The sequence below is a fragment of the Homo sapiens genome, chromosome 2, assembly GCF_000001405.40.
Source record: "Homo sapiens chromosome 2, GRCh38.p14 Primary Assembly".
In the NCBI taxonomy this organism is placed as follows: Eukaryota; Metazoa; Chordata; class Mammalia; order Primates; family Hominidae; genus Homo; species Homo sapiens.
This window is the reverse complement of record NC_000002.12, coordinates 181,928,885-181,951,535: the sequence shown is the minus strand read 5'-3', so window position 1 is coordinate 181,951,535 and position 22,651 is coordinate 181,928,885. Positions and strand designations below refer to the sequence as shown.

The 22,651-nt window shown below is 36.0% G+C and overlaps 1 protein-coding gene across 7 annotated transcripts in view, besides 3 other annotated features; it reads right to left on the bottom strand.

Annotated features, from left to right (window-relative positions):
- Positions 7,128–7,328: a silencer, noted in NCBI's record as "peak3964 fragment used in MPRA reporter construct". NCBI's record gives its function as "represses an SCP1 promoter by STARR-seq MPRAs in K562 erythroleukemia cells {active_cell/tissue: K562}" and the evidence as "EXISTENCE:reporter gene assay evidence [ECO:0000049][PMID:32103011]".
- Positions 18,968–19,168: a silencer, noted in NCBI's record as "peak3963 fragment used in MPRA reporter construct". NCBI's record gives its function as "represses an SCP1 promoter by STARR-seq MPRAs in K562 erythroleukemia cells {active_cell/tissue: K562}" and the evidence as "EXISTENCE:reporter gene assay evidence [ECO:0000049][PMID:32103011]".
- Positions 19,208–19,408: a silencer, noted in NCBI's record as "peak3962 fragment used in MPRA reporter construct". NCBI's record gives its function as "represses an SCP1 promoter by STARR-seq MPRAs in K562 erythroleukemia cells {active_cell/tissue: K562}" and the evidence as "EXISTENCE:reporter gene assay evidence [ECO:0000049][PMID:32103011]".
- ITPRID2 (ITPR interacting domain containing 2) overlaps positions 20,798–22,651 on the bottom strand; it is a 39,009-nt gene continuing 37,155 nt past the window's right edge. For all 7 annotated transcript variants that reach the window (NR_109843.2, NM_001130445.3, NM_006751.7 and 4 more), the window contains one exon: positions 20,798–21,975. Coding sequence is in view for 3 of the 7 variants with exons in the window: in NM_006751.7 (NP_006742.2) it covers positions 21,880–21,975 (96 nt within the window). In the remaining 4 variants the exon portion in view is untranslated. The remainder of the gene's footprint in view (positions 21,976–22,651) is intronic.

Sequence of the window (22,651 nt, the reverse complement as noted above, 5' to 3'; positions counted from 1 at the left end):
GTTCAGTGCAGCGTGCAGGAAGGGAATGACTGTTTGACTGAAACATTCATGTTTCATAGCCTTGTTCTTTTGACTGTTGGTTGTGGGACCTTAGGAAACTTACTTAAACTCTGTGAGCTTCAGTTTCCTTAATTACAGAGGGAAGAAAATAATTCCTACTAAGATAACATCTATCCTGCAGATACATTAATATGATTATGTGATACCTCCATCAGTGATAAAATGTGAAAAGAAAATGATGTATTATTTCTCACTATTAAAGATAAAACTATAGATAAAGTCCATAGTTGGTGTATTCATTCTTAGGTAATGTTTTGGCATTAAACATATCAGCTACTCTAATAATACCCAAGCTAGAGTTCAGTTCAGTAAAGAAATAGAATATCTAAATTCTTATTCAGTGTCAAGCTTTCCTCATTCCCAGAATGGAGGCTGAAGGTGGGGTGGGGATGTGGCTGGTTTCTTAAGAAGTTCCTAACTCTGCCTCCTCCCACACTGTGTAAGCCACGGCTCTGGCTTCTCCAAAGTCAGACTAAGGAAAGAGGGACCAGAGGAAGGAGCTGGGTTATGCAGCTGATAAAATGTGGCTTTCATGCTCTCTGGACAGCAGATGCATTGCTGAGTCTTTCTTGGTTGGACACTTTTGTTGCTTCTTCAGAGCTTCTCACTCAAGATCTGCAATGTAGTTTCTTTGACCTTGGCAATGCCTTCTTCTGGATAGCTCCATTTTGAGCACCCAGTAACACACCATTTTTTCATGTATACAACCCACTGAGGTAGTCATTTAAGAGTTTCTGTTTTAAGATAACCCCAGGTCAACTCTCTTTTGCAGGGTTAGGGGAGGAGAGGGTCTCTCTTTCTTTTTTTTTTTTTTTAACCAGGAGCCAATTTGAGTGGAAGTGCAGCCTACTCCCAGTGCCCCAGTGGATTCCTTTTATATCCCTTGACTTTAGACTTTTCAGACTTAAGTTAAACACTACTGACTATGTCCATTAATCTCCAGGATACAGATATCAAAATCTCCTCACAGTCCCCATGAAGCCCTACACATTGGCTTGAGCTTAGATAAAGCATCCTGCTATTTCCATGAGGAGGGGCAGAGGAGACCATTCAAAGTTCACACAAAAACCTCTGTTCTCCAAGTTTTCCCTGTTATACTAGCTGGGGTACATGACCATGCTGACAGAACCATCTTGATTATCCCTTAGCAAATCATGCACAGGCAGTCTAGCACCCCACTTTAGCTTATGAGGCATTGGGTAGGGAGAGATAATTATTCCTTGGAATCTATTATATTGTTCTTTATCTTTGTGCCTCATTTGAAAAACCTATTGCACAGATAATGGGCCCAAGGTGCAGCTGAACCATGAATGTGAAAGTCATCAGGAACCAAGGACGCTTTTCTTTGTCTTTGCCTCTTTGGGCCCTAATACTACCTTAACTCTGCTCACAATCCATCCTGTTTCTCTGTGCACATATAAAAAATGGCCACCCCAAGCTTCTAGTGTTCTATTTTGGAATATATCTGTTCTGCTCCCACACACCAGCAGAAACTGACTAGTTTGAATCCCACCTCAAAATTTCTAGAGACGGTATTTTTAAAATACAGTGAAAAAAAAATCCTAGGGAAGATAATTGGCTTAATGTGGACCAAATAACTATTCTTAATCCAATCAACTTCATCAAACAAACAAGCTATAATAAGTCCATCTTCTGGTAAGGGAAACTCTCAAAGAAAGGCAGTAATAGGCTGGGCAGACACCCTGAACCATTTCAGAAATACGTATGTAGAATCTTTAGCACATATGCTAGTCCCTGACACAAAGGTCATATGATAGGGTTTGCATATGTGTCACCACCCAAATCTCATGTTGAATTGTATCTCCAATGTTGGAGGTGGGGTCTGGTGGGAAGTGATTGGATCATGGGGGCAGATTTCTCATGAATGGTTTAGCACCATCCCCCATGATACTGTCCTTGCACTGAACAGTGAGTTTTCCTGAGATATGATCCTTTAAAAATGTGTAGCACCTCCCGACTCACTCTCTTGCTCCTGCTGCTGCCGTGTAAGACATGCCTGCTCCCCATTCACCTTCTGCCATGAATGTAAGCTTCTTCCTCCATAGATGTGCTTCTCCACATTGCTATGAGAGTTGACACAACTATTTTGTGACTACAAAGTAGAGCCAGCTTCAGAAGAAGCTGACCCTGCCAGAGGCAGAGAGGAGATAAAAGGAAACTGTTGAGTAGCTGACTCAAGCCAACCCTGGAGCCAACTTACATGTCAGCTTCCAATTATGGGCCAATAAATCCCTCTGTCATTTAACCAGCTTGAGTTGGATTCCAGAAATTCCTAATTTGTATATTCACCCAAAATTCTAACATGTCAGGACAAAATGTCAGTGGGTATATTTGAGAAAGATTCTGATGGTCCCCAAGAAGAAGTTGTAAATGGACTCCAGAGGAAAAAGGGAATCAAGAACTAAAACTCCAAAAACAAGAGGATAAAGGCAACACCAATGCCTCTCAGAGAATATGCCAGATATCTACAAAACTCCAGTAGCCAGGTTTGGTAGCTTACACCTATAATCCCAGCACTTTGGGAAGCCAAGGAGGGAGGGTCGCTTGAGTCCAGGAGTTCAAAATCAGCCTGCTCAAAATGGCGAGACTCCATCTCTATTAAAAAACAAAACAAAACAAAATTAGACAAGCACAGTGGTGCGCCTGTAGTCCCAGCTATTTCAGAGGCTGAGGCTGGATGATCCTTTGAACCCAGGAGTTCAAGATTGCAATGAACTAGAGAACATGTCAAAAAAAACAGAAAGAAAGAAGGAAAGAAAGAAGGAAAGAAAGGAAGAAAGAAAGAAAGAAAGAAAGAAAGAAAGAAAGAAAGAAAGAAAGAAAGAAAGAAAGAAAGAAAGAAAACAAAATAAAACAAAGCTCCAGGAAAGGAACATCCAGATGTTTCCATTGACACATAGGAAACTGGTTGATTTTGCAGTACAAGGTGATACTTTGAGGTGACTCAATCAAATGCCATATGAATTGTCCTCTGACTCTGCCTATGAGGAATATTACTCTAATTTCTCAAAAAATTAAAAAGGATACAAAACGCTTATGACACATGGGATTATTAATAGAATCTGAGCAAATGAAAAAGACTGCTCTACACAGAAACCACACACACACAAAAATACTACTGGGAAGTATTATTTGCTAGAAGAGCCCAAGCACACCCTGGGACTTCGAGAGATGGAGGGATCTCAGCAAACCCCAACATGACACTCCAAGGTATGATATAGAAGATGGTAGACAGGCAGCAATCCAGAGACCAGTGGAGTGAGGGGGAGCAGCAAATGCACACTAGCTATAAGGAATCCATACCAGAAACTCTGCCAAGGAAGAAAATGACTTCAACATCTGAGTTCTAGCAGTTCCATGGACAAGGAAAAGAGAGAAAAGTAGCTTAGAACTCAATACTGCTATTTTAAAACAATTCTTTGTGGTTACCTAGTTCTTTTTTTTTTTTATGTGTCAGTAGAAAATCTTGTATTCTATTTGTGTAGTGAGGTAATACTTTTGAATACGTTACTATGCTTTTCTTTTTGGCACTTCCTTGTATCTTTTTAAAATCTTATCCCTATTCAATTAGAGATATTCATTACTTCGGGAAGAATAAGATTATTATAGTTAGAATATATAAAGTTTTTAGAGTTTGGCTTTTCGCTTTCAAAAACAGACCCCTCAAATTAGTTTCAGCAAGAAAATTCTTAAATTTATTTTCAATTTCAAGAGGCAAGCAAGAGATAGAAATACAGAGTTTGTTTTGTTTTTTTTTTTTTTGTTTTAAAAATTCTGTAATTTTTCCTTTCAATATCAAGAAACAAAACCTGGAAGGCTGAGAAAATCATTTTACTAAAAATCTTTAAATATAAATGATACAGGAAATGACATGAGAACAGTCTTCCAGCCCAAAAAAAGGAAACAAAAAAATAACAAACCTTCTTTGGTATGAAAAGAATCTTGAAAATAAGCAGAGCAGGTAAGTGAGTCATAGGTGAGTTTACAGAGAGGCCCCTGCCCTGCTTCCAACTCAGGTAGGGAGAAGGGTGGGTTGGACAGTAAGCTGCATGACAAAAATGCCCAAATATCTCTGAACTATGGGCAGAAACAGCTTTTTTTCACTCTGGGCCTGGAATTCTAATTGGAAGCAGCCTCAAAGAGTATTCCATACTAGATGAGGGTGGGCACCATATAATGGAAATGGCATAGGGCTTATTTAAATACAGAAGACCTATCACAGTGCTTGTGTTCCAGTAACCCTTATTTTACTTAATAATGGCTCCAAAGTACAAGAGTAGTGATGCTGGCTATTGGATATGCCAAAGAGGAGCCATAAAGTGCATCCTTTAAGTGAAAAGGTGAAAGTTCTTGACTTTAAAAAAAAGGCAAAAAATATATGCTGAAGTTGCTAAGATCTACATTAAAAATGAATCTTCTGTCCATGAAAGTGGGAAGAAAAAAGAAATTTGTGCTCATTTTGCTGTCTCACTTCAAATTGTGAAAGTTGTTACCACAGTGTGTGATAAGTGTTTAGTTAAGTTGGAAAAGACATGAAATGTGTGTGCAGAAGACATGAACAGAAATGTGTTCTGACTGACAGCAATCAGGTTCCTACCTATTCACAATTTTAGGCATCTACTAGGAGTCTTGGAATATATCCCTCCAGGATAAGGGGGAACTACTATATTAGGAAGAAAGTCTTTAAAGTAGCCAGAGTTGAAGGGTAGGCAGTAGAACTGGTATTATTTACATCTTACATTATTACATCTTGAGACATTCCTGGAGAGTAGTTGCACCACTTCAAAACCTTACATGAAACAATGGTGTCCTCATTTAGAAAGCATCTCTTTTACACCTCCACAATACTCAAATTGGAGTTAGAGGTCACACTATTCTGACTAAAGTCAAAAAGCGTTTTTCAGCATCTGGAACAATTTACACAAAAGTAACCTTGTCACTTAACCACATCACCATTCACAGATATTGTTTTCTTTTGTAATTTAAAATTGAATAATGTTATTTCTTATGATTAATTAAACTTTTAGCACTTTTAGAGTATTTGATTTAATACTTTGTTTTTCTAAATTTTTTGTTGGTTTATAATAAAATGATAGTGTTTGGCATTTATATTTTTATAAATCATGATTTAAATTATATTTTATAATATATTCATACACTTTGTATTTAAAATTCATTAAGCCTTTAGTTTCATTAACCATTTTATTTTAAGACTTCTGAATGCACTTAAAATTTTTTTAAATCAATACTGGTTCACATTTTGCATGAAATAAATGTCAAAATAATTGATATTACAATGTACCACCTTATTGGAATTATAAATCAGAAGAAATTACCCTGTACTTCCCAGTTTGAGGGAAAATATAATTAATTACATCAGCACATTAAAAGGGAAAATCCCAAAGTTGAAAACAGACAACAGGTTGATTCTCTAAGGGTATATAGCTTTCTTTCAACTTACTGTTTTCTATTAATTAAAGTATATTACAATTCTAAAAAAGGAAATGTTGATTTGTAGAAAGCTGACAGAAATTCAAATAATTTTTGTTCAATAACATTTCAAATTAATTTTGCTCTGTAGAGATATAAATAAGTTCTGATAGAAAAGAGTAAAACCCAATGTTTTAAATTTTAATGTAATCATCTTATTTCAGTATTTTTTCCAAGTACTGTAATATTTCTGCTTGTCCTGTGCATTTTGCAATTAGCTTTACTATCCCTCTAGTTTCCTCGATTATTAATTCAGTCTTTGACATTTGTTGATTTTATATTTGAATCGTGTTTTTAATTTTTTGAAATTTATACTTTGATAAGCACCAAATACAAATGGACATGATGAGCATCAGTTTTAGGGAAATAAAAAAATTTCATTTCTGCACATTCAATTCACATTGAATGAATTAAATACCCACCTCATTTGTGTTGTAGGATCAGTCAAACAGCATGGGATCAACAAATTTTCACCAGATGAGAGTCCCTCTTTTTACAACATTCTTTGGACTTTTCCCCCAAGAGTGTCTAAACACTGGGCACAGTTTCACTACCTGATCCCCGAGAAAAGTACTGTAGCCCACCCCTGACCCCTCATCCATGATTTCGTTCTTTGCAATTTGAGTTACCTGTGGTAAATGCCGATTCAAAACTATTAAATGGAAAACTCCAGAAATAATTAACAAGTGTTAAATTGTGTGCCATTCTGAGGAGCATGGGGAAATCTCAGGATGTCTCTCTCTGTCCTGCCCGCTATGTGAACCACCCCTTTGCACAGAGTATCCACGCTGTACGTGCCGCCTGCCCATTAGTCATTGACGTTATCTGCTCCTGACATCCAACCATCGACAATGTCATGGCTCCATGATGCAAGATCACCCAAAAGCAGATGATCCAAATGTAGCCTACCTCTACATCAGAGTGCCTACATCATTCATCTCATTTCATCTCATCACGTAGGCATTTGTCATCTCACGTCATCACAAGAATGTTGAGTACAGTAAGATATTTGGGAGAGAGATCCTATTCACATAACTTTTATTGTAGTATATTGGTACAATTGTTCTATTTTATTATTAGTTATCATTGTTAACCTCTTACTTACCTAATTTGTAAACTAAACTTTAACATAGTTATCTAAGTATAGGAAAAAGCATAGCGTATAGGGGGCTCAGTACTATCTGGGATTTCAGGCATCTTCAAAACCTCTTGGATCATATGTCCCAGGCATAAGGGGGAGGATGCTGTGCACATATCTTTTTTGATGTATGTTTATCACTGATGATCATTTTGGGAAAGCAGAAGAACATTAAGAACATTAAAAAACAAACAAACATGGGAAAACTACAAATTTAAGAAATCCCCTAAATTCTTTTGTCCCTTGTCTTTTGTCTAAAGTCCCTAACTTCCTTCTAATCCAGTGACAGGAAGTTCTATTAGATTGTTTACTTTTAAATGAACTTTGAAGTTCACAAAAGTTTGTCCCTTCATCTCCCTGAGAACTATCTTATACAAAGGGTGTGTGTTCTTCTCTCTACAGGAAGTTCTTTTTCTCTAAGAGTAATCTGAGTTGAACAGCGAGTGTCTCATCTGAGAATACCCAGCCTGTACCATACCCGGTTCTCCAGGGACCCTGACATATTAAGGTTGTTGTTGCTGTCTGGTGGTGCTGGCAGTGGTGGTTTTTCTCAAATAACAGTTAAAAGGCGAAGGTCAGAGTGGAGTACTGTGGAGCGCCTAGTCTAGGATAGCAGCCTATTTTCCTTTGATATTGGAAAATCAGTCCTGCATCACAACCCTGAGGCAAGCGATTGTAAGGCTTGGCCTTTTTCTTCTAAATAGAGTGAGCAAAATACTAGGAAAACAAACATAAACCAGCATGAAAAAAGTTATCCTGCTATAGTAAATCAGAAATGAAGACCTGACGTTCCCTCTGTTATTCGGTACAAAAGTAGACTAATTAAATGATAAGGAACTAAAAAGTGAGATTGCACCATAAATCAACATTAGGTCTTTAGTTAATAATTGGAGCAAATTGAGTTTGTTTCTTTGTAAGTAAATAACTTTAAATCCAGCAAAAGGGACTGGTTGTTCAAACAGTAGAAAGCCACTTGTATAGAACATGAATAGAATTGTTAATTCACATTGACAAATTCCATGTATGTCCTTATTAAGCTTGGGAAACACAAACAAGGAAAGCTCATTCACATTTTTAGGCTTTCATAAACAAAGATGACAAAGAAAAAGATGGGCTGCTGATGTTTTTCCATTTCATCTTGTGAACACTTCACTCTGGAAATTATCACCAGGGCTAAGGTCTTTGGGTTTGCCATAATAAGATTGTTTCATGAGGAATGTAGCTCAACTGGTACTTAGTTACTCTTGACACTCCAAATGCATACTGAACAGGGAGAGACATACTTCACACAAGGTCTGAGACAATTCCAAATATGTACCTGTTGCAACACCATCTTCCAGTCCCCAAATGCCAAATGCAAAAGGAAATCTTCCAGATGTATTTAGGCTCCACTTCACCTCCTCAAATTCAACATCATTGAAGTGAATAATAGAAAACACAGAATAATCCTTCATCACTATTCAAACAGGATTCTGCCAATATTTACTGTTTCTACCAACCACATTTGGTAAGATATGTGCTTCCTACTTTATTTCCAATAATCCTTGAACTGTTCCTAATCTAAGCAGTTAAAACGGTAACCTCCTTGTTCTGAGATTTATGGCCAAAGATACTTATGTAATCTTCCAACTATACCATATTTAGTAAAACAATATAATCTCCATGATCATCAAAAAGAGTACTACTGTGGTAAACAAACATATAACATTGTTCTTATCTGGCAAAAGCAACATACATCTGTTCTGAGGCATTAGATGTAGTCCTGGCTGATGCATTTTAAGAAATAGAAAATAAAGCCAGAAAATAGATACAAGGGGATCATAAACTGTAAAAGGGATGTTGATAATAGGTAGTGGGTTGGAAGAGACCTCATTCTGAAAGAAAAAAATGTCTAGTGTTTTTCTGAGTCAGAGTGATAGTTTATTTGAAGCCCTTAAAACCTCCTAAAGTGATGGATTGGAAACAACATCTTGTTCCTCAAATCCCAGTCATATTAGAAATATGAAATGCCCTTTGAAGACAGAAACATGAAGATTTAAGACACATACAGGAGAATGATTTACCCAAGCAAGGCAATGCATAATCTGATGCTACAAAACAGTAGTGTGAGAAGGCCTGCTTCCAAACTCTAAACATTTGAAGATCCAAAGCCTTCTTTGTTTTATATTGTTTCCTCTACCTTCAGCTCAAGTTAATACATTCTTTAAAAATCCTTGTAGATTTCTGTGTATCAATTGATAACCAACTCCGTTAGACAAAAACCAAATTTGCAAAGCTCTTCAAGATAAGCCCTTATCTATTTGGGGTTTTCTTGAGACTCCTATGGGAATATATCCTTAGGAGTCTTGGGCACTTGAGCACCCAATTATTTAACAGAGAAGAGATGGCCAGGCAGGCCTTAAGATCCATAAAAATACCTTTTTCTGTTTGAAATGTTTTGTGAGCCACTCTCTTAAATCTTTCTTAAGTACTAACAAAGAATCTTATGGATCCACCCTTGATTTTATCTTTTCCAGAGCCATTTTTAATTTAGTAATTGTTTTTAGAGGATCAGGGCATAAGACACAATTTTATTTCAAACCTGGCAAGTTCTGACTCTTTTATATTTAAAGGTTATTTTTAGCTCATCTCTCTTGTCTCACATTTTATCATAGGTGATGAAAAAAAAATCAGGTGGCATTTTGAATATTCTGCCTGGAAATCTTAACTAGATCATTGAGTTTAGCAGGTATATTTCCACTTTGCCACATTAACACAGATGATTATGTTGGCAAACTCTGTGCCGTCATCCAACAAGGCTTCCCATTCCTTTAGCTTCCAATACCATTGTCCTCACTTTCCTTTAAACCTTCACTGAGAGCCTCCTCAAGGTCTTTCAGGTTTCCACTAGCAGTCTACTTGAGAGCCTTTGGTTTTCACTAAGCATCTCTTCAAAGCCCTTCCAGCTGCTTCCCACAGTCCAGGCCCAAAGCCAATGCCCAAATATAGGGTTTTGTTATGGCAGCATCCTACTTCTAGATACCAAAATTTGTCACAGATATCTATGCGCACATAAAGTATCCTGAAAGCTTAGTGTCTTGAAGCAACAGCAATCATTCATTTCGTTCATGAATTCACAATTCAGGCAGGGCTTAACAGGGACAACTTGTTTCAATTCATTGTGATATCACCTGGGGTGGCTTGACTAGCGGTGGAGAATCCACGTTCATGATAACTTTCTCATATGATTGGCGATTTGGTGCTGTCTGTTGGCTGGGAGTTCCTCCAGGGCCAAAGGCCAGAAGCTTCTGTCTTCCTCCATGTAGGCCTCTTCCCAGGCTTCTTGGTCTTCCTGACAGTATGATGTTTGGGTTCCAAGACCAAGAATTCAAAGAGAATCAGATAAAAGTGCATGGCATTTTTCATGTTCTAACCTTGAAAGTCACAGGTTATTACCTTCACCACATTCTATTTTTCATATTGTTCAAAAGCAGTCACAGAGACCAACCAGTTGCAAGAGGAGGAAGACATACAGACTACAGTTCTTAATGAGGAAATTGCAAAGTTTTAGAAGAGTAGTTGGGATAGGAGATTCTTTTGGACCTATCTTTAAAAAATATAATCTGCCACATTAAGTAAACAAAGAATTGCATAGAGACATTAATAATTCAGAGGATATATTTTTTATCAATGATGTCAAAATTATGGAGAAGAATTAAACACTCCATAATATAGCTCTTCTTCTTCCCTGACAGTAAACAAAATATATCTAGATGGATTATAGATCTGACCGAGTTTGGAAATCCTTATGTTCATAAAGTGGACATATTCTTGTAAAACATTATCATACTAAAATTTAAATAATTACATATCTCAATAAAAATTATCTGTTGTTTTTAATAATGGAGGAAAAGTCAATATTTTCCATTTAGTTCAACTCCATTTAACAAATATTTATAGAACACTTACTACATACCAAACACTGTGCTAGGTATATGATAGTAGGTAAGGCATGTTTCTGTCTTATTATAATTGGGAAGACTAAATGGTTAATTGCAATATAGTATAATAAATGAAAAAAATTAAAAGATATGTACTACACACACATGAAAATAAATAGAATCGGACCATTAACTTACACCATGTACAAAAATTAACTCAACAGGAATAAAATACATAAATTTAAGAGCTAAAATTATAAAATTCTTAGGCAATAAATAAGAGTAAATCTTTATGACCTGGGCTAAGCAATGGTTTCTTAGATATGACACCAAAATGCAGATGCAACAAAAGACAGAAATAGATCAATTAAATTTTATCCAAACTAAAATCTTTCAAGCTTCAAAGCACACTATCAAGAAGATGAAAAGACAACCCATAAAATAGGAGAAAAATGTTGCAAATCCTGTATCTAAGGAACTTGCATCTAAGGAACTTGCACCTAGAAAACGTAAAGACTTCACATACTCAATAATAGGAAGACAAATAACTCACTTTAAAAACAATGGTTAAATGATGTAAGCAGACATTTCTCCAAAGAAGATATATAAATGCCCAATAAGTGCACAAAAAGATGCTCAACATCATTCAGGGAAATGCACATGAAAACCACGATGAGCTACCACCTCACACCTGCTAGAATGGTTAGAATAAAAAAAGACTGACCACTACAAGTTTAGCAAGGATGTGGAAAAATTGCAACCCCCATACATTACTGATGGATGTAGAGTTGTTCAGTCACTTTAGAAGACAATCCTTGGCCAGGTGCAATGGCTCATACCTGTAATCCCAGCACTTTGGGAGGCCAAGGTGAGTGGATCACGAGGTCAGGAGATCAAGACCATCCTGGCCAACATGATGAAACCCTGTCTGTACTAAAAATACAAAAATTAGCTGGGCGTGGTGGTGTGTGCCTGTAGTCCTAGCTACTTGGGAGGCTGAGGCAGAAGAATCACTTGAACCCAGGAGGTGGAGGTTGTAGTGAGCCAATATTGCACCACTGCACTCCAGCCTGGGTGACAGAGCGACACTCCATCTCAAAAAAAAAAAAAAAAAAAAGACGATCCTCAAAATGTTAAACATAGAGTTACCATATGACCCAGCAAATCCACTCCTAGCTGTCTACGCAAAAGGAATGAAAACACGTGTCTTTAGAAAAACTTGCACATAAATGTTCATAGCAGCATTATTTATAATAAACAAAGAATGGAAAGAACCCAAATGTCCCAAATGTCTATCAGCTGATAAATAGGTAAACAAAATGAGGGCATATTCATATAATGCCGGCATGTATATATAAGGGAATATTATTTGGCAATAAAAAAGGACAAAGTACTGAGGTATGCTACAACATGATAAACCTTGCAAACATTATTCTAAGTGAGGAAACCAGCCACAAAAAGTCACACATGGTATGATTCCATTTATATGAAATGTCCAGAATAGGCAAGTCTATAGAGACAGGAAGCAGATTAGTAGCTACCTAGAGCTATGGTGGGTGTGGGTTGAGGAGAAATAAGGAGTGACTGCTAGTGGGTACTGGGAGTTTTAGGGGGTAATGAAAATGTTTTAAAATTAATTGTGATGATGGTTGCAGAACTCTGTAAACATACTAAAGACCGTTGATTTGTATGTATTATTAAATGAGTGAATTTTATGATCTGTGAATATTTCAATAAAGCTAATATGCATCTGCACACACACATATGTACACACACACATTTAAATGTATGTCCTAGGTACATTGGAAACACAAAGCGGTGATTTCTGCTTGGTGGGTCACAAAGGGCTTCATGGAGAGATAGATGTTTGAAGCATGGGTGGCATCGGAGAAAAAGGAAAGGACTTCCAAGCAGAGAGGGCAAAACTTGCAAATACAGGGAAGCATGGAGCAGCATGGTTGAGTATGACTGAAGCACAGTTGCATATTGAGGGATTCAAGAAATGAGGATTGGAGAAAGGAAAGGGATGCATTTGGCTGGGCGCAGTGGCTCACACCTGTAATCCCAGCACTTTGGGAGTCTGAGATGGGCAGATTGCTTGAGCCCAGGAGCTTGAGATCAACCTGGGCAACATAATGAGACCCTATCTCAACAAAATTACAAAAATTAGCTGGGTGTGTTGACACGTGCCTGTAGTCTCAGCTACCTGGGAGGCTGAGATGGATGGATCATCTGAGTCTGGGAGGTTGAGGCTTCAGTGAGCGGTGATTGCACCACTGCACTCCAGCCTGGAAACAGAGTGAGGCCCCATCTCAAAAAGAAAAAGAAAGAAAGGGATGCATTTGGACTTTAACTCAAAAACAATGAGACATCCATGGATGACACTGAGCAATAGGAGTGAGGAGGTGACAGGATCATATTTGCATTTAGAACAACCACTCTAACAAAATGGAAAAATATGGGCTTACTGGCAAACTCTGGTAGGCAGAAAGGCCCAGGTGGGAAATAGTGCCATAATTCAAGAAGTAAGAGGGTGGAAACTAAGACATTAACAGTAGGGACAACTGGATATGAAGGAGTTATTATAGAATCTCATGACTTGGTGAGAAGAAGCCAAGTACCTGGCATACAATAGATAAAACATATTTGCTAAGTGTAATTGGACCTTAGTGGAACTTTTACTTAGCTATTTCAACAAGGGAAAATGTAAAAAGTAATCCAAAATGGCTAATGCTTCAGATGGCATGATCTTTGTATATAATATCCCCTTGAAGGGAAAGAAATTACTTACAGTATAATCTATAAATGTACTTTTATGTACTTAGAATCTGTAGAGAGGGGCTCAAGTATATAAAACCACTCACACATTTCTTCTTGAGGAGAAGCCAAATACACAGTTTAGTAACAAAATAACCACCAAGCCAGGGGCTTTTTATGGATATTGTGAAGCTTTCTTTATAGTTGTGTTTATAGATCAGCACCTCAATTAAAAGCCTCTTAATTTTTAGGGAGATAGCTATGAAGTTTCTCACCAGCAACCATAAAAATAGATGGGCTGAGAAGAGGCACTTGCTGCATACAGAATGTTTTTCTAGCATTGTACCAGAATATTTTGGAGATGCCTAAATGTTCCTTGTTTGAATAGGAAACAAAAAGTTGGCAGTGGCCGTCACTTCCCCTAAGTGCCTCTTCTTTTTCTTGCTTGTAATGAAATGGCAAGGTCACAAAATACTGATGTCCACACTTCCTGATTCTCAATCTCTTAAGATACACGAGTCATAGTTAAGTAAGTGTTCCTCTCTCAGCAACCAGCTGACCCAGAGCTGTACATTCTTCCCTCTAGCAGGAAGATGCTGCCTGTTCCACAGTAGTGTTTTAAAAATTGTTGTTCAAATTTTCTGTAATATCTAGCTATTGAATATTTATTCAACTTTAGATTGTATGTCTTTCAGAATTAAATCAAGTTGAAAATCACTTGGCTATCACACATCCGTTAGAATTCTAATATTCTGAAGAGCAGAACCTTTCAAAAGTAAATATTACAATGAACACTGGATAGATTATATTTTATTTGTAATATTTCTATGTTGATAACAAATCAAATCATTTAATTCTGAATGCTAGCAAGTATAAATGGCTTAATTTGTTAGAAAGTTTGTTCTCAACTTTTAAAAAACCTATATTCACCAGCTCAGGAAATTTTAAAAGGCTCTTTTCTATAGTTTGTATTTCAATAAAGTATTTTCCAAACAAAAAAATCACAAAACTGAATAAAAACGACATGCCCATACATATGTGTGTACATTCACACATGCAAATATACACACACAACACATACTCTGATAACTGCCCTTGCCCCGCTGAGAATCACTATGCTAGAAGGTTTTTAAAAGCTCAGTTCAATTGTTCATTAATTGATTTTTAAAAATAAGAAACACGGAAGAGAAACAGGATAATCATCAGAGAATATTAGTGTCAAGGCATTCTTATAAAAATACACTAAAGGGCTACAAATAACCGAACTAAAAATGCCAGTTTTCTGAAGCTCCAAATCTAAGTAAGTGATACAGGATGATGCATTTTATCATCGGCAACTATCCTAATTGATGATCCCAATTAATGGTGCCAATTAAGTGTATTCTTCAAAATAGTTAGAGAGACTTCTGAAAAATGTAACTCACATTGAACTTTCCCTGAATTAAATAAAGATTAGGCAGGACTAATTACATAATTTTTACATTTAATGGTTTAACATAAAGTTGGAATAAAATCAACTGTATTTTCTCTCATGTTGGATTCAGATAACCAATGCAGTGTATCATCTTGATATTTTAATATACTGCTATATATTTTGTATTTTTCTTCTACTATTATTACCTCTTGCTAATAGCTAATATTTATGGAGCTCTTACCATATACTAGGCAGCTAACTAAATATCCCTGTGCTATTACACTTGTTAATCTCCTCAATAAACCAAAGAGGTAGGTACAATTGTTACTTCTCATTTTACAGGAAGGTGAGACTTAGACAGGTATGAAAGTGGCAATGCTAGGTCTGGAATCGAGGTCTATCTGCCTCTAAATTGGACCCATCAATGTTTACATTTTTCTACTCCCTTCAGTTATGTATGTTTTCAGCACTATTTTCTTTGAAAAAGAAGTGAACACAGATGTCTTTGGTGTTTAGCAGGCTCAGTACACAGACTCAAACATACAGGTCTGATCCGATCAAGAACTAGCTTGTTTTACACAACCTGAAATTTCAAGGGAATTTCTTGAAGGGCAAGAAGAAAAGAGCAGAACGGTAATGCTGAAATTGAGAACACACTATTAAAAAAATACATATTGCTCTAAGAGTACCAGTGGTTGGAATTTTTTCATAGTAGAAGAATTTTTCTCATTAAAAGGTCTAAATTTAGCCTGTTACTAATTCTCCCAACTGCCTCTTTCTCTTTTCCCTTTCCTTTTGTTATTAACTGGAAAGTATAAAGTATTTTAGAGAAACTTGTTTTGCAGCCAGCTTTGCCATAATGCAGCTAATCCATCAACCAAGAAATAATATAAGTGGACTGTTAGACACAAATTCAAAACCTGTGGGAGGTTAACCCTGATTGGGAAAAATTGCCCTAAAATCCTGAGTAATAATTACAACTGTATACTATAATCCATCTACACTTCTGATGATGAATTGTTTCCTTCAATGTTTCTATGCTCCTCTAAAAATAATTTCTGCCATAATATGTATCCAGAATCTAGGCAATTATGAGCCATTTCATTCATTTCTCTTTCCCATTATAGAGCAGAATGGACCAACCAAAGACTTCTAGAGAATTATATCTACTCTAAAAAATGGTTTAGGAATATACCTGATGAAATCATGATGTTATTTGCGTTCTGCTTTCAGCTTTTTATACAACAATTGAAAAACTAATAAGTTACATCAAAATAAAAATTCACTTTTGTGAATTTTGAAAGACTTGACTCGAATGCTAGTAAAATTAGTAAATTAGTAAATGGTATAATCAGGTCATTAAAAATTTAATTTTGTCATTAGTTCCTTATACTCAATAGCTTATTAAGTGTTGGTCGAATGAAATTAATTGTGGTAAGGTTTCAGAATAGAACAGTTAAAATATGAATGCTCATATCTGTCATTAAAATGCATGTCTGTTTCTGAAAGTAGGAGGGAACAGTTTGGTCCCACACTGTGTTCCTACTATGATTCAGCCAAGGTAGATTTGAATGAGTTGATTTAAATGGGGGCATTTTAGCAGAGAGCGAGAGAGCTTGCCAGCATTAGAGGAGAAGAGAGGATAGGAAGGACAGCGAAATGTCTGCCTCAAGCGCTTTCACCCATGGCCAAGCCCCATGAAGATGTGTCTGAAAGCAGAAATGACCTAAGATTCTTTCACAAGGGATTCATATGAGAAAGCTGGGTTATAAGCAATGCTGCTATGCTGCTAAGGTAGTAAGGGGTAATTCAGCAAGAGAAGCACTCCCTCCACTTCCATACAGTGTGTTATCATCATAACCTTGGCCGATTGAGGACCCCAGCAGAAGGGCAGGGGAGCACTGGGTCCCTCAACAGAGAGAGCAAGAGAAGAGCAAAGCACTTAGAATTGACGTATTAGGACTGTCATGAAGATGTATGAATAACTCTCGGGGAGCCCCAATATTAATGCATGAGATTTAGGAGAGGAACATATCTTTCAACACATGATGGAAAAAGAAAAATATATCTGTCATCATTAATGCATTCCCATTTGTCATCACAGACTAAAGAAGATTGGGTAAACACATCATCTTATTGAAATGTCTATATTTTACAGATATCAATAGGTTAATAACAATGCAAGTCCTTTTTGACTAAACATAAATCAAGACATTCACAACTGAGATTTAACTGATGACCCTGCTGATTCTATCAAGAGCAGTCTCTGCCCAGGCACAGAGTTCTAACAGATATTTGTGAATCTACTCCTCAGATGTCTGCTTTATACTTCAGGGGCCTTTTTCTTTTTTATCTTGGACTGCTGAAATAATAAAATTATTTGAGATGTACCGAAGCAAAACCATGAATCATCAGTACATGGATTTACTAAACAATTAACTCAGGAACACGAATAAGAAATTAGTGTGCTCTGCAGAGGTGAAATATCATGAATCTCTCTGAAAGGAATGATAAACTCCTTCAAACTCCAACGGCTATAAATAAATTCCATATCCCAGATCCGATCTCTTTCTGCAGCATCTCTAGACTAATTCTTTTTTGGGTCTCATTCTGGTTCTTGACTGGTTGATTCTAGAAGCACTCAGATGGTCTTTGCATTTTCTCAACATCCAATCTACACAATATAAGGACTTACTATTCATTGCCATCAACAGCAATCAGCAATTTTTTTTCTTTTACTGTGATCATTCGTTGGCCATTGCACAATTCCACAATGCCTTGGGTGGGCCCTCCTGAGGTCTCCTTTCTATGTGCTTTGCTTACATTTGTTCTTCATTTTGAACTTTGGCTATAATGAAAAGTTTCTTGAAGGGGCCTGTAAGATGACGTACCCTTGGAGATTAAAATCCTTTTCCTACTTAACAATTTCCTTCCTTTGAAGCATCTAGCAGACAGGTAGTGAAGACCTACTATCCTAAGTCCTTGCTACTAAAGTGCAGTCCATGGCAGCACCATCAACCTCACCTGGGAGCTTCTTGAAATGCAGAAATTCAATCCTAGAAGGTAGGACCCAGACCTCAATCAGAATTTTCCTTTTTACAGATTCTCAGGTAATTTGATTTGTATGATTAAAGTTTGAGAAGCACTGTTCTAAATGGTATTCCATGACCAGTTTTTTGGTTTCAAATAACAAAATTTCTTGAAAATGTTAAAACCAGTAATTAATGTTCACCTGCTATATCAGAATCGGCAGTCTGGTACCAGTTCCTAGTTCAACTGCTTGAAAGAACACATTAAAGTTGAAAAGGTCAGTCCTGGATCTATAAGTCCATATTCTGTCCTTCCCATTTAATGCTTTGACTTGCCAAAACTCATCTACCTGTCACCTATCTTTACCCATCTTTGCTATCACCATAACAGCTAACTTACTGAGCTGTGCCAAGCGCTGTGCAAAGTTCCTTTACATTCTTCTCTATCAACTGAGAAACAGGTACTAATACTACCATGATAGAGTGAGCAAATAAGCTCATTGTTCACAAAAATTTAAGTCTTTCTCCTTTGGGTGTGCAGAAAGACCCTTGTGAGGAAAATGGACTCTGATATTTGTCTGATATGCATTATCTTTTAATATATTTGTAACTCCCTGCTGAGCACTGACATTCTGTATGCAAGTTATTACTTATGATTTGTGACAGTATTATTTATTACACTGACACTGTATATAAACTGTTATTTACTCAATATGACTAATGGAACATCAGTTGTGGAAATGAGAACAAAAAGGAAAAGGCCTCATTCAATAGCAATACATAGAAGAAACTGTATAGGAGAGGAACTATTAGTTATGACATTTTAACTTTATACATTTAGAATGCAATTAGAATAAGTGCTAATTAAATGTTTCCAATATTCATAAGTAACTCTAAGTGATGCTTAAAAGTGTAGACCCTCAGCTTCAATTAAAAGGTGATAGGATGTTTCCTCTTCCCACTTCCTAGGAGTGCTATAATTTCCTTCTTTCCAGGAGAGGAAAAATTCTAGAAGAACATACACTTCAGTTTTGCTTAATTCCTTCCCTAAGACCACACTCCCATTTGTACAGGTGAAGAACATGGGCAATGCAGCAATTCTCCAGAAACTGCCCAAACTTACGTTCTCTTTACATTCTTTTATATACACTTTACTGCATTCTTATGTTCCTCTGAAAAGGTTGAAGATGGCCAGCTGAGCAAATATTCGGTACTTTTAAATGTATGAAATTCAACTGAATATATTTAGAGGAAAGAAATGTACTTCAAATCTGAGAATTTTTCAAATGTACTTCAAATCTGAAATGTACTTCAAAATCTGCCTGTTTTTCTCATGGTATATCATTCATAGCAACTCCAAACATCAAAATCACCATTTCAAGTTTCTTTCTCTTCTATGCTTTGTGCAAGCTCTTAGCACAATACACACAATGAACCTGGCATTTAAAAAGTATTGCTTTGATCATGTACATGGTAATTCAAACTCTATGTATTCTTGATAACTTTTGCTAATGTTCTTGACTACTTTTAAGACTTTACTCAAATCTCATCTCCTTGGTAGGCTTCTCTGACCACCCCAGGCTATAGTCTCTCAAATTATTTTAGTTATTCATTGACACTTCTAAACGTATCCATAAATTAAAAGATGCCTTGACTTTGTCTTTTTTTTGACCCTTTCATTTTTCATTTCCACATAGCAGCTAGCACGGTGGCTTGAACTTGATAGCTTTCAAATGTTAAGTACACAATAAAGTGGGGAGAAGGAACATAAAACTCTGATAGTTGTTGAGACTCCTCTTATTTGATTCATATACTATGTAGGTAATTTGCTGATTGTCTCAGCCTATTATTGCAACTGTTATATTTCTAATTTTGATTATCAAAATCTGGGTATCTTGTGTTGTCAAAAATTAACTAAAAGTGACTTCAAAACTAAATAGTTAAAATCGTTGATTACTATATTTCTATTAATATGGGGCATTTAGGGGTGGGATTGTAAACTAGTTCAACCATTGTGGAAGTCAGTGTGGCGATTCCTCAAGGATCTAGAACTAGAAATACCATTTGACCCAGCCATCCCATTACTGGGTATATACCCAAAGGATTATAAATCATGCTGCTATAAAGACACATGCACACGTATGTTTATTGTAGCACTATTCACAATAGCAAAGACTTGGAACCAACCCAAATGTCCAACAATGATAGACTGGATTAAGAAAATGTGGCACATATACACCATGGAATACTATGCAGCCATAAAAAATGATGAGTTCATGTCCTTTGTGGGGACATGAATGAAGCTGGAAACCATCATTCTCAGCAAACTACTGCAAGGACAAAAAACCAAACACTGCATGTTCTCACTCATAGATGGGAATTGAACAATGAGAACACATGGACACAGGAAGGGGAACATCACACACCAGGGCCTGTTGTGGGGTGGGGGAAGGGGGGAGGGATAGCATTAGGAGACATACCTAATGTTAAATGACGAGTTACTGCATGCAGCACACCAACATGGCACATGTATACATACGTAACAAACCTGCATGTTGTGCACATGTACCCTAAAACTTAAAGTATAAAAAAAAAATTGGGGCATTTGGTTGATAGGTGTTATTACTGCTGTTATTGAACAAAGAGTTAAATAGTATTTTAATATCTATTGTTTGTAGTTTAATAGCTTATTTTTAAAGAGAAGTTTTATTTGACCTCTGATGGTAATTATCATGACCACAGAACTAGATAAGCCAAAGAGGCCTCAATCATGCCCTCTCTCCAGGGTGGTCTAGTCTTAAACAGCATTTTTTAAAGCATTGTTTTTTTAAAGTATCATAACACTTCCCTAGGAAAAGAGAGTATCACTCTATTGGGTTATATGCTGCAATTCTTTTGGACCTCATTTGTTACCTATCAAATCTAATTCAAAATCTTCATGTTGCAGTTTAAGAAACCACTAAAACACTTTAGGCAAAATAAATACTTTATTGTTTTAATATATATATATTTTAGAAATCAGCCTTTGTGTGATATTTCAAACATTTATAAGCCTTTTAGAGATTCTTTCAAAGAACACTGTTAACAACTCAACCACTTTTGATTAAAATATCACACACAAAGAAACACAATAGGAGTTGAAAAAATTATAAATGCTAGAAGAAAAATTCTAATAACATTTGGTGGTTACTTTACACATTTATTTAACACATATAAAACCAAATGGGAAACCATTTTCCTTTTTTTTCATAAAAACAAAGTTTTCACTGGTTAAAACTGAACTAAAATCATTTTATGTATGAGGAGAACAAATCTAAATTACTTCCATTTTGAAAAAACAAACACCAGCTTATTCATTTCTATTCATTCAAGTCATAGGCCCCATTATTTGGATGATACTCTATTTAGTCTAGAAGACAGAAAAAGAAACATCTCCATCTAATAAAGAAGTCTGGACAATGCAAAAAGTAAAAGTACATAGTGTTTAACATAAGGCACATTTCCAAAAGAAAAATACTACATAAGCAATGATAAAATTACATTTGTCTTGGGTAAAGCAACAAGGCTTACAGTGTAAGTACATTAAGTAGTTGTAGGTAACCTCATAAAATTCTATCCTACTGCTATTAGTAACCTCCCCAAGAATTAAGAGCAATTATATTTTTTACAACAGAACAGTTTTTCTTCTTGGAAGTGACATTAATTAACAGCAGTGGAGGGAAAAATCATTGGATGCTTCAAGCTCTGAAAAAAATGAATCAGTTATTGCACAGTAAATACCTCATAGAGGTCAGTGTTTTAAGATGTTAGTCTGAAGAAATATGTTATTTATAAGTTGGATAAGTCTGGAAGTCTTCAAGTTTTAAAATTAATTCTAATAGGGAATCAAATGAAAAATACTGACATACAAATAAATATTAGGCTTTTCAAACTGCTAGAGTTTTTGATAGTTTAGAAAAGAAATAGCAAAGTGCCTAAGTTTCTATGTACGTCTTTTTAAAATATATGGTTGAAGAAATACACATTGTACACTGTATACAGTAGCCCAGCTCAACAGCAAGTATCTTCTAAAGCACAAATAACACCTCCACCAGTGCATATCATTGATAATTCCAGTATTACACAGCTAATAGGATCCATGCCAACCTTAAAAAAGAAAAGAGAAGTCAGTTTTAAACCTCTTTCAAATACTGTTATTAAAAGCTTCTTTAAAGGAAGATGAGAATTTTATGCAAATATATATACACAGAAACATGATTATCCTGTAATCTCTATACATCTTCCTGAGAGTTAATTCTTATATCCCTGGCTTTAAAAAAAATAATTCCTATTAATTGCTTTGTGACATAATTTATTAAAATACTTTCCAATTTCCTATATCTGAAATTGTATATTATACTTTTCAAATTACATTTGTTTCTCATGTCTTATTCAATGAATATTTTTAGTTCTATTCTACTCAACTTATTCTTTCTTTTTGCATTCACCAAGAATTATTATTAATATATATTATATAAAATGAAGTTAGAGCTAAAGCAGGAGGATCGCTTGAGGCTAGGAGTTTAAGACTAGCGTGGGCAACATAGCAAGACCCCATCTCTACAAAAAAATTTTTTAATGTAATTAGAGCTACGAGATAAAATGAAAGTAATTCGTTTTACTAAGACAGACATATAAAAGAGTTTTTTGAAATAAATTATTATTAGAAATGAATCTATGGGATATGTTTCTTTAAAAGATAAAAATAATTAGGAAAGATACTTAGAAGTTGTGATTAATTCGGCCGGGCGCGGTGGCTCACGCCTGTAATCCCAGCACTTTG